At 45.5% G+C, this 16,057-nt stretch overlaps 1 protein-coding gene across 9 annotated transcripts in view; it reads right to left on the bottom strand.

Annotated features, from left to right (window-relative positions):
* The window catches only part of MAPK4 (mitogen-activated protein kinase 4), a 172,215-nt gene that overhangs the window by 27,897 nt on the left and 128,261 nt on the right, over positions 1 to 16,057 (bottom strand). The gene's annotated exons all lie outside the window — the stretch shown is intronic.

The following is a 16,057-nucleotide window of genomic DNA, read 5'->3' as shown; positions in this document are numbered from 1 at the left end:
GTGCAGGAGTCTCACCTACAGACTTGCTGTTTTTAGTTAAGATAGTAAGGTAGTGTTTCCTGAAATGAATTCATATTCCAAAGATGTTAATAGCTAGCAGGGGAGATAGGATGTGTGCCCAAACACCCTTGGGACAGGCTGGCAACAACCAGTGAAGCTTATTTATAAAGTCTCAGAATCTTCTAGATGGGGATTTAGTATGTAGTGCTTGTCAAACCTCTTTGACCACTTATCCACTTTTTTCTAAGTGCATCATGGGGACCAGTCTTTCTCAGGACAGGCTGTGAGGAATGCTGGGTAAGGTCCCTGTCAACATATCAACTCGATACCTGGGAGAGGAAACATACTGACCTGTTAAGCCCACTGTCTTCTGTTAGCAAGACTAATATTATGGCGCCTGCTGAATGCTCTGTGTGAATGGAGGCGCACTGCCTCCCCCACTTATCCTGAGAGCCCCTGAGTGCTGGGACCTCTTGGTGTGCCTGGTGCCTGCAGACAGAAGATGCTGAAGGCAGGTGGCTGCGTGTTATAAAAGCCATTAGAAATGCCAGCTACTTTCACTCCACAGAGGCTCTGGCCCCTTGGAAAAGCAGGGATGTTTTGGTTAGGAAAGGGAGGCTGGGCAAGGTGGAGAGTGCAGGTTACTGGAGGAAGGAGGTGCCTGCTGAATGAGTAGCACTGAGACCACTGCCCAGGCTGGCCAGGCAGGGAAGAAGTACAGGCAGTGGGGATGGAGAAGGGGAGTGAGCATGGGGAGGAGGGCAGCAGAAAGGTCTTGAGATCAATTTGAGAGGGGTCTCCAGAGTTGCTTCTGTTAGGGTCCAAATCCAACTCTTGGCTCAGTAACCCTGTCTGACCCTGACTTTGGGAAAGGTCTTTTTGGATCACACTATTCACAGGGAACCACATCTTTTCTGCAGAAACTCTTGTATTCTGGGAAAACCTGCAAGTTGCAGGCAGATACACCACTTTTGAAGTGCCCACATACTGGGAGGCAGCTCCCGGGTCACCTGTTCGAGAGAATTACAGTCTCATTTCAGATGCTCTTTTAACAGGCCTTTATAAAGTGTTTCCAGTAGGTCCGGCCCTGTTTGTGGTACTCTGAATCAGGGGACTGTCTTCAGGGAGCATACACTCCAGCTCTGGGCAGTAAGTATGCTGGTTCAACTGCAAAGACTATCATGAAACCAGGGCACAGTCAACACCAGATGAGGGCAGGAAGATGGGGCAGTCACTGTATGAAGAAGGAAACAGAAAAGGGGCCAGGGTGGATCTTGGTTTGGGGAGCCTCTTAAAAATACAAAATCATGAACACAAAATTAGATATGAAAATGAATATTTATGTTTAATCAGAAAAGGAACTGCAGCAAATTAAAAATTATAAAAAGCTGGCAAATACTACAAACACCACACCATTCATAAAAATAACATTTTTACTAATTAGCTGCTTGGCAAACTGCTGGCAGCAAATGTAAACATGCTGCATAATCTCTGATCTTCTCTTCTGTGACAATTTTGTAATATGCTTCTTTATTTTTTTAAGAGACAGGGTCTTGCTATGTTGCCTAGGCTAGATTCAAACTTCTGGGCTCAAGTGATCCTCCGACCTCAGGCTCCTGAGTAGCTGGGACTACAGGCATGCACCACCACGCCCAGCTTGAAAGATAACTCAGTCTTTGAAAGTTAGGTAGTTAAAAAGATAACTAAGTCTTTCTTCTAGTGTGGTTGATACTTTAGAATGGTTGATTTTTTTTTTTTTTTTTTTTTTGAGACAGAATCTCTCTCCATCACCCAGGCTGGAGTGCAGTGGTGTGATCTCAGCTCACTGCAACCTCCGCCTCCTGGGCTCAAGCGATCCTCCCACCTCAGCCTTTCTGGTAGCTGGGAACACAGGTGTGTACCACCATGCCCAGCTAATTTTTTCTGTTTTTAGTAGAGACAGGGTTTCACTATGTTGCCCAGGCTGGTCTCAAACTCCTGAGCTCAAGTGATTCGATCCACCTGCCTTGGCCTCCCAAAGCGTTGGGATTACAGGCATGAGCCACCATGCCCAGCCTTGTATGGCTGATATTTATAAGTTCTTTTACCTTATAAGTTTTCTGGATTATCAAATTTGGGAAATAATTCTATTTAGTGTTCTTTTGTACATGACCTATAAGATTTGGGGGGCGTTTCTAATTTTCTTATGTGGTGACTCAACTTCTATTCTCTTTGAATTAACGACACTCATTAACCAAGTTGTTGATGATGTCCTAGTTGCAGTCACATGTTATGAGTTGTAGGGTGGGCCGTGTTTGCATGAGGACCTCATGAGTTGATTCCGTGGGCCTTAGCAGGATTTCTAGAAGTTATTCCTACACCACAATGCTGGCAGTAACCTAACTGCACATACAGAAGTAACTGCAAACCACGTAAACATAGCCCACTAAAACTAAAAGCATCTCCACTGCAACCTCCCCTAAGTCAGCTCCCCCAAATGCCCAGCCAAGCAAGCGGCATCCAGCAGGAGGGAAAGTCTGAATGGCAATAGCCCATTTGCTAACAGATTGCTCTCAAAATAACTTGCTTTGTGAATATTACAAAAACACATGACCATGTGAACACAAGGTTAGGGTCCCTCCCAGGGCCTTGGTCAGGGTTGTGCAAAGGAGAGGCCTTGGGGTTAAGTTTCATGGACTCCACGGTAAATCTGGCCCTGACCAGAGTAAGCTGGGCAAAAGAAGAGGATAATGGCCAAGGAGGATGGGGGTGGGGGTGGGGGTGTCTTGTTAGAATTTAAGCTTGGAAAGCAGAAACATATTCTAGGAACCTTCTTTGAAGTAATCTAATCCATGGTAGGGCCCATGTTCTAATAGGCGGAGGAAAATCATCTCGAGGGCTGGAGAGTTTGCAAAGAGGTCCCTGGTATTCCTTAGAGGAGGGAACACGTGAAGGGCATGGCTGCAGGGGGAGCTGGTGTGGTTTTGAAAGGTGTTTCTGTCCTTCACCTAAACAAGCTGGTGAGAATTTCGGCCACCAGAAAAGGTTTGATTTCCTCCTCTGTCACCTTACTCTCTTAAATTCCTTTACCAAGGGCCAAAACCCACAGTTGCAACTTTGAGTGGAATAGCTAGAGAAGCAAATTCCCTGTCCCCCACCCCCAACTCCCGCCTAGAGAATCTGCAGGGATTTTCTCCTTCACACTTAGCAATGCACCCGAGAGGGTTTTGAAGAGCTGAGGAAGCAAAGAGAATGCAAATGTCCCAGACACTTGGAGGGAGGTGCGGCTCTGAGGAGGGGAAGAGGCACAGGAGGTGGGTATGGGCTCTGAAGATAAAGTCTGCCTGCTTCACAGTTTTCCACAACCCTGGTTGGTGGGTCCTGCCCACTCTCAGCAGATGGGCCCACAGAAGAGTGCTGATGTTTGCGTCACTATTAATCACACAGCGCTGCCAGTGAATTTGGTTTGCAAAACTGAAATATATGCAACAGTTGATGTGTGCACCTGTAGCTAATTCACTTTCACAGTTGTAGAGTATTCCAGTGTATTTATATGGAGAGTTTGTCAAGAGGGACTAGGTATTTTGTTGTTGTTGTTTGATTTACTTCTAACTGCCTGATACATCATAAAGAATTTGGCTGGTCTTTATTCTCAGTTCCTGGAGGAAGCTTCTAAACCCTTGGAATTTCCTGAGTGACAGGAGTGTCTGTTATTCATGGTGGGCTCCTGGAACCATATCTGACTTAATGCTAATGAGGCAACTCATGGTTGGTCCCTAGATGGCTTCAGGATGGGGATGACTGTGATTAGAAGGCTTGGGCTTTGAGCCACGTGGTATCAGCCCAACTTCCAGGGGGTGGAGAGGGGCTGGAGGTTGAGTTCAGTTAGGTGGCCAATGATTAAATCAATCATGCCTAGGTCATGAACCTAACTCCTACCCTCCCCAAAAAACTCTGGGCACTGAAGCTCAAGTGAGCTTCCCTGGTTGATGATACATACCCATGTGCTAAGAAGGTGACATGTCCTGAGAACACAAAAACTTCACATTTGGGAGCTTCCCAGACCTCATCCTCTAGGTCTCTTCTTTTGGCTGGTCCTGACTTTAATCCTTTGTAATAAAACTATAATAACAAATGCAGGGCTTTTCTGAGTTCTGGGAACCAGTCAAGTGAATGATTAAATCCGAGGGAAGATGAGAATCTCCAAATTTGTAGCTCTTGGGTCAGATGTGCAGGTGACCTAGGGACCCCCGGGCTTGTGGCAACTGACTGAGGTGAGAGCACCCTTGTGTGGGACTGCTCTTAACCTGCAAAGTTTGCCCTAATTCTGAGGCAGAACTTAATTGACAAATTGCCAAATATCATTTGGGTGCTATTATAAATGGTATACTATTTATGTTTTTTGCTTTTAGCCCCCAGTATACACAAATGAAATTGATTTTTGTATATTGATCTTATATTTAGCAATATTGCTAAAGTCTTTTTATTAAGTCACTAATTTGGTTGAGTTTTATTTAAACGATCAAATCATCTGTGAATAACAACAGTCTTATTTTATTTTGCTTGCTAGGACCACTAGTGCAATGATGTACTGAGAAATAGTGAACACCTTTATGTGTTCCTGGTTTTAAAGAAAAAGCTTTTAACATTTCATTGTTAAACATAATACGGCAGAAGGTTTTTGGTAGAAACAATTTCTTTTGGATGAAGGTAGTTCTTTTATTCCTGGTTATATCATTCACAGATACTGAATTTGCTAGAATGCTTTTTCTGCATCGATTGAGATGATCATGGGGTCTTTTTTTCCTCCTTTGTTTCTGGTAAGTCAAAAGAATAGATTTTTCTAATGTTAAACCAACTTTGCATTTCTAATATGAGTTCAATTTGGATATATTTTATATATTACTCAATTTTTATTTTTTTTTTGAGACAGAGTCTTGCTCTGTTGCCCAGGCTGGAGTGCAGTGGCACGATCTTGACTCACTGCAGCCTCTGCCTCTTGGGTTCAAGTGATTCTCCTGCCTCAGCCTCCCAGATAGCGGGGATTACAGGTGTGCACCACTATACCTAGCTAATTTTTGTATTTTTAGTAGAGACAAGGTTTTACCATGTTGGCCAGGCTTGAACTCCTGGCCTCAGGTGATCTGCCTGCCTTGGCCTCCCAAAGTGCTGGGATTACAGGTGTGAGCCACCGTGCTTGGCTATATTACTGAATTTTGTTTGTCAATATTGTTTTCAGGGCTTTTGCAAATATAGTCTCATAAGTGAGACTGGCCCGCAATTTTCCTTTTTCATATTACACTTGTCTGGTTTTGGTACCAAGGCTATAATGCAGGGAGGTAGAAGCTTTTTTTCTATTTTCTATTATTTGTTAATTGAAAGTCTGGTTGAAGTTGATAAAACTATTGGACATGAGGTTTTCTTTCTGAGAAGTTTTAGCTACTGATTCAATTTTAGTAGTGACTGCATTATTTAGGTGTTTTCTTTCTTTTTTAGTCAATTTGATGATATATTTTGCTAAGAACTTGTTTCATGTAATTAACAAAAAATACAAGGACATATTTATTTTATATACTTAGATATGTTTGATAAATATGTATTTACTTAATAAATGAATATTTATGAGCATGGAGTTCATGGTATTGCCATAGTTTTGAGTCTCTGTTGTGTCTATAGTTATGTTCCTTGATAATTTAGGGCTGTTTGAATGCCTCTGGTTCTAGAAGCCCCCTGGCCACTCAGTGGAAGGCCTAATACTCTGAAGCTTGTTGAATTGTAGCCCGATTTGATTTTATTTGATGTTGATCAAAGATGGTCATAAATAGAAGTATTTGGGGCAGGGCCAATAAATGTAATCTGGTCCCAGACTAGGTTTCTTCATTTATTCCTTCAGTAGAATGAAAGTCATGATCAGCTGCCACTTTGATTTCAGGGGAGAAGAGTATCATTGTTGCCTAAGGAGCTGATTTTTGTAGGCTTACAACAGTTCAGTATTTCCTAGAGTGACAGGGAATAAGAGCGAACTCCCCTAATTGAAGTGAGTAAAGAAGGCCTTGACAAGCCCTTTCCACAAGTCAGTCTGGAAAACCACAGGCCCTAAGGAGCAGCTGATAGGAGCACTTGGGCCAGTGAAACATCCAAGCTACCTGGGGACCCCTGAGCATTTCTATCTCCAGATGGCTGAGCATGGCTCTGTACTGGTAGGCCCAGGCTCAGGGGTGGCTGATGTTATTCGGCTTCCTACCTTCCCCTCTGTGGCCCAAGTGACAGCTTCCCCTGTCCCCTGCCCATTTAAATATTTTAGTGTGTGGTTAAAAACCTCAGAGGCTGTGGATCTGATCACCTGCCTCCTTCTCTAAAAGAGATGTTATAGTGATTTCAGTCAAGTCTCTCATTTTGCTGAACAGGAACTAATCATCACCATCACCAATAACAGCAGTATTACTAAAAGCACTTACGGTATGCCTGCCAAACACTGTGTTAACACTTTACATCAAAAATCTCAATGAATACATTTATTGAATTATTAATGTAGCAAATATCTATTGAGCTTCTACTCTGCTCCAGGTACTTTTCTGGGTGCTGGGACAGAGCAGTGAACCAAGCAGAGAAGCTCCCATTCTGTGACACCCATATGCTACGCCGGTAGGTTTGCTGTTCTTATTCCTATTTTACAGATGAGTAAAGTCAGGCTTGGGAAAGAGAAGGTGAGAGTGGCTAGTTAAGTGTGAAAACTGAATAAACCCAGGTTTTGTTTTGAACAGCTATGCTATGCTCTACATCAGCAATTCTCAACCTTAAGCATGCATCAGAACCCCCTGGGGAGTCTGCTAAAACTCATTGCTGGCCTCACCCCCAGGGTTTCTGATTCAGCAAGTCTCAGGTGTGGCCAGACAATGTGCATGTGTAATGAGTTCCGAGGGGATGCTGATGCTGCTGGTCTGGCCACCACCAAGTCTCTGCACCTTCCCTCCTGCCTCTTTCAGGACCCAAGTCTCTGCGCCTTCCCTCCTGCCTCTTTCAGGCCCCACTTTTTTCTCTCTCCAGGTGCTCAAGTGCCGTGTCTCTCCTCCAAATGTGTGCAAGGGACCCCATACCAGGAAGACTCCCTGTATGTCCCAGGACCTCAACCCCACTGCCATCAGCTGGTGTTGGTGTGTGCTGCCATCACCATCTGTCTGTGTGCATAATTACCTTAATTAAATAGGTTCTCACATAGAATCCGTGTAAACAAGTTACGCTGTTAAAAAGGGCAGTTCCTGCACCTGATTTCTCAGGCTGTGTTATGAGTAACACACATCAATCACACCAGCTGAGGCTCTGGCTTTCAGCCGGAAGATGAGGGGGTTCTCTGGGTTTGCGTTCAGGGTGAGTGGTGTGCGGATCCTCTCAGACCTGCAGGTTCTGCTGCATTTTTCATTTGCCTCTTTCCAAGGAAGCCCACGCTACTTGCTACTCAGCCAATTGTGTCTCAAGCATAGGAGATGCCGCCCACCTCAAAATCAGGACCTCACTGGCTGTATCCCCAACAGTGCTCAGCTCAGTGGGTCCCTAGGGCAGAAGCAGCTGTTCTGAGCCACTCAGGACTGATGCTGTTACAGTTCCCCTGTCCTGTATGCAATTCAAGTAAAAGCAATACAAACCATAAAATAAGTGTAAGGGAGTCCAACAAAGGTCAAGTTTTCTTCCCACAATGAGTATTTGATTTTTTGTAATAGCAAACATCAAATTCTTTATGAATCCTTCTAGGATGTCCTGGCTCCGCTGGTGCCCTGACTCTTGGGAGCTCCAGCACAGGGTAAGGGTGTACACAGTGCAGGGCCAACAGTTTTGTTTGCTTTTTTTTTTTTTTTAATCAGGGGAGCCTGGCTCTCATCTTGCCCACTGCATCCTGCAGTGCCCTCCCAGATGAGGATCCCTTGAGTACTGTGCTGAAAACACAAGCTCTGAGGCTGGGTTCAAATCCTGAGTCAGCAACTTATTTGCTGGTGACTTAAAGCAACTTTCTTAACCTCTCTGAGCCTCAGTTTCCTCAGCTGCATTAAAGGAGCCAATATCTACTTCATAGGGTTGCTGTCAGAATGAAACAGAAAATGTAGGAGAAGCTCCCAGCTCTGAATAGATGTCACTCTGCCCTCCCTTTCGCAATCTCCATTTTGATAGAGACTTTGATGGTTTCCTCTTGCTTGTTATATTTTGTCCAAATCCTGCAGCCTTATTTCTCAGGTGCTCCCTCTGCCTCCGTCCTCATCCTATGCAGCCTTCTCACTCTCGGCTCCCCAGGCGCTCTCTCTAGCTCTCTCTACTGCACGCGTGGCATCCGCCACCTTCTGTCTTGTCATCACCCTGACCTGGAGTGCCTCCTCCTCCCTCCCTCTTTAAATCTTGACAACCCACAAGGCTCACGTCAAGCGCCCTGTCCTCGGAATGCCCTCCAGCTCCAAATGACCCCTTATATAGGGGAAAACAGGGCTAGAAAGGTAGGAATGGAAAGGAAAGTGTTCCATACAAGACCCAGTCGGTATCACTCGCTTCACACTGGCTATACATGACACTTTCCCTGATGTGCTAAGACTTGAGTCTATCTTTTTTTTTTTTTTTTTTTTTTTTTTAAGATGGAGCCTTGACCTAGGCCAGGGTGCAGTGGCATGATCTTGGCTCACTGTAACCTCCGCCTCCCGGGTTCAAACGATTCTTCTGCCTCAGCCTCCTGAGTAGCTGGGATTACAGTCATGTGCCACCATACCCGGCTAAATTTTGTATTTTTAGTAGACACGGGGTTTCATCACGTTGGCCAGGCTGGTCTCGAACTCCTGACCTCAAGTGATCTGCCCACTTCGGCCTCCCAAAGTGCTGGTATTATAGGCGTGAGCCACCGTGCCTGGCCTGAGTCTATGTTCTTGTCTTTCCGGTTCAATCATCAGCTTCTGACAGGCAGAGAGCAACAGTAATAATAATAAACACTGCCAGTTATCAGGCACTTACCATTTAGGGTTATTTAATGCTTAGAGTGGCCAGGTAAAGAAGTAATAATATAATTTCCCTCCTGCAATACCCAGCACAGACTTTTCACAGTCAGTAAGCATCTGTCAATGGTGACAGTGGTGATGGAGTAATGACTAACATCTGGATGCCTCTTTGCTCTCTCCTCTCTCACTGAGGTTGGTGTGGATGCAGAGTAAGGGAGCAAGGAGAGCTGGGTGTTGGCAAAGAGACAAGCAGGTCCCAATCTTCCTGGATGAATAAGTGACCACCTCTATGGGGTCACCAAAGGCCTCTCTACTCAAACAACTTCCTGAGGGCCAGTCATGGGCCCGATATTCCCACATTAAGAATAAATTATTTGGGTTAATATTCTGGGTCCACCAGAGTGACATCTGTCATTCATTAAGTATTAATTACTCACAGCTGGGGAGATACAGCCATGAGCCCACTGTAAATAGCTTAACATAGGGCTCCGGTGGATGGAGAAGATACAAGAGAAAATAAACATGCTTTCTTAGTGGAGTTCATTTGGGAGTTTGCCATTTGTCTCTCAGCAGGACTTTGAGAGAACAGGACACCAGCCAGGGGACTTCTGAGGTGAGGGGGACGTGTTTGGCCCATGGGATAGGGATTATGAAGGGCAGTAATGGCCCTGGGTGGCCTGAGGAGCCCACGTGCATGAGGAGGGAGGATGGAGGCTGAGAGTCATCTAGGGCTGTCCTCAGAAAATCTGTGTCCAGCAAGATTGTGGCATCCTTGAGGGAGGTCATTCTGATGGCCAAGTTTTTCAGAGAGCAGCAGATTTACCGCAGTATGCACACAGCCCACGACTTTCTTTGGATTTTAGTCATTTTGGATAGAAATGTTCTCAGCATAGGACCTTTTTGATTTTCCCCATCCCAAGTCTCTTTCAGATAAATACCGAATGCTTCTCACTGAATCAGAGGCAAGAAGCCACAGCCCTGTGCATGAGCCTTCTCTGCATCCTACAGCAGCTCCTGCAACCCTCCTGTGGCCCTGGGGCAGAACCCTGGGGATCCAAGGAACAGGGTTTGAAAATGTGTTTGGTGGAAAATGCATTGAGCCTCAAGTCAGAAGTCCTGGAGTCAAGCCCAGATCTACCACTCACTCGTTTCATAAGCCCAGGCAAGTCTCTTAGCCACTCTAGGCCTTAGTTTTTCTCTCTATAAAATAATACACACCCTTCCTATACCACAGGATTACCACGGGAATCCAATGGTAAGCAAACACGTGGAAACAAACCCACGGAAAGCACATGCACGCTTGAAAGCACCACTCCACCCAGAGGCTACTGTCATTCACACAACTGGCTGCTTAAAATTGACGATAATTTAATATCCTTTTACAGGGTCAAGATTCGAACATCAGTTATGATTTGGATCATCACATAGTGCAGCACTCAGAAGTCGAAGGGCGGAAGAAACCTCTCTAAAGAGCCTGAGAGCTGTGACTCTTGGTGAATTCTCAGTCTGCCTTTGTATTTTTTTCTGTCTCTTTGTCAGACTGTCAGCTATCACTGCTCTCTGCTTGGTGTGCCTGTTGAGTCCCTAGTTTGCTGCTCGTAGTCCGCTGCGGATTTGACAACCACATGATGAAGTTTATTACAATTGTGTATAAAGTGAGGGCACACAGGCACAGGTAAAATATATTCACTTTGCTTGTAGACTGTGCACTATCTTTTTTTTTGAGATAGAGTCTCTCTCTGTTGCCTAGGCTGGAGTGCAGTGGTGCTATCGTGGCTCACTGCAACCTCCACCTCCCAGGTTCAAGTGATTCTCTTGCCTCAGCCTCCTGAGTAGCTGGGATTACAGGCATGCGCCACCATGCCAGGCTACTTTTTGTATTTTCTTTAGTAGAGACAGGGTTTCACCATGTTGGCCAGGCTGGTTTCGAACTCATGGCCTCAAGTGATCCACCCATCTCAGCCTCCCAAAGTGCTGGGATTACAGGCGTGAGCCACCGTGCCTAGCCTGCACTATCTATTTAACGCCTTAGGATCACTTCTGCCTTGCCTGTGGTTCAGGTGGATGCCCCTGCAAAACGGAGGAGCTGCTGTCCTTACTCATGAGTTCAAAACCCAGACTCTACTGGGAAGCCAGTCACCATTCCTAACTCGGTGTTCTCCTGCCTGGGGATCCTGTAAAAGGACACGATCAAAGCTGGAGCTGATGGAAACAGGTGTCATTATTCTGAGTTCTCCAACCCCAGCTTCTAGCCTGCTTTGGCCCTTTTGTTTTCTTTCTTCCCACAGGCCCCTAGCTCTGTCCCACCAAGTAATAAGAGCTGCAAACAGCTCATATTTATTGAGGGCCCTCTCCCTGCCCAGCACTATGCTAAGCACTTCGCATTCTTTATCTCATTTAGTCCTTAGAACAACCCTGTAAAATCAACACTGTTGTTTCCTTTTTATAGGTCAGAAAACTGAGCTTAGAGAGGGATACATAGCTTGCCTAAGGTCACATAATTCTTAAGGAACAGAACCAGGGCTCGTCCCTGCTACTGTCCAGCATTATTTCCCCTGGGCTCTCAACAGTGAATCTGAGGCCCTGCTTGATCCTGAATGTCGAAATTCTGTCCTACAAAGAATGCAGTGGCCTGCACCAGAGATCTCATATGCATCATTTGGTCCACGGAGAATGAGGGCCAATTCCCTCCAGAGCGCGGAGAGAGGCCCTGCATGGAGCCTCTGGGTGAGAATGCCCAGGACCTGGGCTACAGGCTAACAACAGTGAGGCAGTGTGGCTTCTGGAGCAACAGCAGAAGGGTTGTTCAAAAACCACTGCCTCTACCTGCTAGCTGATGCCTGAAGAATCTTTTACCTGGAAAGGGATTCAACCTCCCCTTTCATAATCCAAAATAAAACTTAAAATGTAGACATTCTAAGCTATGTGACCCTGAGTTACATTCATACTAAAGTGTAAAGGCTGGCACCAGCTCCCTTTTTAAGATCTATCAAAGAATTTTGAAAGAAGGTGGGTGTGAGGGGGGATGGGAAAGGAGATGGGGGTAACCAAAGTGTAGATCTGAGTGCTCAGGTAGGGAAGGGGTAGACAGATGGGAGACTGGGAGATTACAAGAAAAGACTCTGCCGTCTCTGCAGTTTTGGCTAAAACCAGTCCTGGCTGCCGATACTTTTATTCTCTTGACAAACTATTGGAGCTGCTCCCTTGACAAAGGTGCACTGGGGCCAGAGCCTGCTGAAAATCTTTAGGCAAAACCTGAAAATGATAAGCTATTTTGCAAAGGAATTCTCCAGGCTAAATGTCTCTTTTCCATATGCCCTGACTTGAGAATGATTGGTTCTGGAAAACTGCCTCAACTTGGATGTCATATGGCATTTAAATGACCACATATATGTGTGTAGGAACTGTATCGACACAGAGTAGGTATACACAATATGCCTCAGGATTTGTTAAGTTGAATGGCACGGGTCTTCATGATCTTTACGTTTTCTTATCAGAAAGCAAAACATGTCAAATTTCAACTGAGCATGAATCCTTCCTTTGTGCCTCCAGTTAAGTCAGACTCTTGTTCCCACCTCTTTGGTACCTGCCCTTCCCAGGACATGCTTTGCCTTCCTGGCCAGTTCATTTCTGGAGCTTTCATTTTGCCATCTAGCAGGGCAGATTTGCATTTAGATTTGTATTTTTTGGCCGGGTGTGGTGGCTCACACCTGTAATCCCAGCACTCTGGGAGGCCAAGGCGGGCGGATTGCTTGCAATCAAGAGTTTTGAGACCAGCCTGGACAACATGGTGAAACCCTGTCTCTACCAAAAATACAAAATTTAGCCAGTCTTGGTGGCACACACCTGTAGTCCAAGCTACATGGGAGGCTGAGGTGGGAGGATGGCTTGAGCCCAGGAGGCGGAGGTTGCAGTGAGCCATGATTGAGCCACTGCATTCCAGCCTGGGCGACACAGCGAGACCCTGTCTCAAAATAAAAAGAGGCAAATTTCAACTGAGCATGAATCCTTCCTTTGTGCCCCCAGTTAAGACAGACTTTTGTTCCTTCACACCTCTTTGGTACCTGCCATTCCCAGGGCACACTATGACTTCCTGGCCAGTCCATTTTTGGAGGCTTCATTTTGCCATCCAGCAAGGCAGATTTGTATTTTTTAATTGCAAAAGTAGCACAGGTTCATTTAAAAATTTCAATAATTAAAGAAGTACACTTCAGAGTGAATGTCGTTCCTCAATTCTCAAGCTACTCCCCACCTCCATTCCCTAAGAGGAATGACAAGTAGGTTTACTTCCCGTCTTTCCTTCCCTGTCTCCACATACAAACACATAGACTTTCTTTTTCCAAAATTGAAATGATCCTATTGTACTTTACTGGAACCTACTTTTTCTCCTTCATCTATTACAGATGACTTCTCATATTAGTGTTAAAAGAGCTTTTTAAATGGTTGCACAGGACAGAATCCCTTTGTCATTTAAAATCTGTTCAAAGCTCTTTACGTTTTTGTTCTGAATGTCTTGCTCTCCAAATAAGTTTGGGTTCTCTAAAACATTTCAGCCAGTGCTAACTCATGGTATTGAGCTGTTAGTAGTAAGATGCTCTTCTGAGAAAGAAATTGGTATGGTTTGCATTTAAACTCACACCTGGATCTGAAAGAGTAGGCGTGGGAGTAGGTTAGAAATATAAAAGCTCAACCTGAACGTATCACATTAAAATACAGAGTGCAGCTACCATTTTCCTTTTCTACTATTTGTAAGGAAAAAGCCCTGGGAAGAAGCAAGGCCAGAGCTTCTGGCCAGGGAGGTCACTTCAATGACTTGCTGAGGCAGGTGAAGGGAGTCCTGCCACCTGGCAGGAGAGCCAGCCTGGGAGTGGCAAGCCTTCTGGGGCTCTAGCTCAGGTGAGAGGGAAAAGCCAGCCCCTTCCCCAAACTCTTCCTGCCTATACTGTCCAGATGGGAACCTGGAGTCCTGATATGAGACCTCTAGGACCCCTTTCTAATAAGGATGACCAGATTCTAGGACCCACGGTATTAATTCCTAAGACACCATTTACAATAAGAGGTTGCACTAGCTCAATCTTCCTAAAGTGTTGTTGTTATTGTTATTGGATGTTACCTAGTGAATAGACTTCATGTCAAATTTGGAGAAATCTGAGATATAGTTAAACTGGTTTGTAAATTGCAGGACTTATCAGAGCCTTTATTAGCTTATGTACTTGAGTCTTCAAGAAGAACAGCCCCCCTTTTTTAAAATTTTGTCAAGGTGGGTTCTCGCTCTGTTGCCCAACCGAGGCTGGTCTTGAACTCCTGGGCTCAAGCGATTCTCTCAAAGTGCTGGGATTACAGGCGTGAGCTACCACGCCTGGCTGGACAACCTCATTTTTAACCTAGAGGCCCTTGAAGGAAAAGTCAGCAAATATGTGCAATTTTGTTAACTTGAACATCCTGTGACTTAGTCCTCAGTGCTGTTCTCTAAAACATCTATTCCCCCTGCCCATCTCCTCAAAGGTGGAACACCAGCGCATGAGGAATCAGAATTCCAGGCAGCAGAATAGCTTTTTTTTTTTTTTTTTTTTTTTTAAGATGGAGTTTCAAAACTCTTGTTGCCCAGGCTGGGGTGCAATGGCGCAATCTCGGATCATTGCAATCTCCACCTCCTCCTGGGTTCAAGCGATTTTCCTGCCTCAGCCTCTCGAGTAGCTGGGATTACAGGCTTGCACCACCACACCTGGGATAATTTTTTATATTTTTAGTAGAGACGGGGTTTCGCCATGTTGGCCAGGCTGGTCTCAAACTCCTGACTTCATGTGATCCGCCCGCCTCAGCCTCCCAAAGTGCTGGGATTACATGCTTGCACCACCACACCTGGGATAATTTTTTATATTTTTAGTAGAGACGGGGTTTTGCCATGTTGGCCAGGCTGGTCTCAAACTCCTGACTTCATGTGATCCGCCCGCCTCAGCCTCCCAAAGTGCTGGGATTACAGGCGTGAGCCACCGCACCAGGCCAGCAGGATAGCTTTATGCGAGCCTCTTTTGCTCTATGAGTCCTAGAAGGGATATGCACTGTCTTTCTTTTTTTTTTTTTTTTTTTTTATTTCCATAGGTTTTTGGGAGAACAGGTGGTATTTGGTTATATGAGTAAGTTCTTTAGTGGTGATCTGTGAGATTTTGGTGCACCCATCACCTAAGCAGTATAGACTGAACCCAATTTGTAGTCTTTTATCCCTCACCCCCCTCCCACCCTTTCCCCAGAGTCCCTGATGTCCGTTGTATCATTCTTATGCCTTTGCATCCTCATAGCTTAGCTCCAACTTATGAGTGAGAACATACAATGTTTGGTTTTCCATTCCTGAGTTACTTCACTTAGAATAATAGTCTCCAGTTCCATCCAGGTTGTGATATGCACTGTCTTTCACTAGCAGAATTCATCCACAGATTCTCTGTCATCTTGAAATTCTGTGGGAAGCCTCTTTATTCTATTTGCCTTTCTTGAAGAGTCAGAAGCCAGGCAAGTACTTTCATGAGAGGTTAACTCAAGTCATGTTCCCCAGTGGGGCCTCCACATGCCTTTTCTGACCTCAGCTCTTTAGAGATAGGCTTACTGCTGTTTGGGGCCCTGGGGAGGGGTCTGGAGCCCAGACATTTCCAGTCTAAAGCAGCTTTTGGGGCCGTCTGTGCCTGGAACACTCATCTGCAGAACTCAGCACCTCCAAACTCCATCTTTCTTCAGTTGCACTGGCTCCTGCCTCCCTGATCACCCCAGCCCAGCCTCGTCTCTTCAGAGAGCTTTTGCAATCTCCATTTCATTTCTGTAAGCTTTGCCAACCTGCCGCCTCCCCCACCAGACTGTAGCCTCTCAACGGCAGGGACTCAGTCATTAGATGTCTATACCCCAGAGAAGTGCCAGCACCAAGCTGGGGATGAGGGCGAGGCAGCTGCCCATGATCACCTTTCAGCAGAATCCCTGACCCCGAGGGCAGGGAATGGGTTTAGTCATCTGTTCTCAGTACCCAGCCTCGTGCCTGGTCAGTCCTGATCTCGCTAAAGGTTAAACCAGGGCTTTCTCTTTTTTTTCCTAGGACCCAGGAGACACCTGAAATTAGTCCCTGC

This window comes from Homo sapiens, chromosome 18 (genome assembly GCF_000001405.40).
Source record: "Homo sapiens chromosome 18, GRCh38.p14 Primary Assembly".
Taxonomy (NCBI): Eukaryota; Metazoa; Chordata; class Mammalia; order Primates; family Hominidae; genus Homo; species Homo sapiens.
This window is presented reverse-complemented; position numbering and strand designations above follow the sequence as displayed.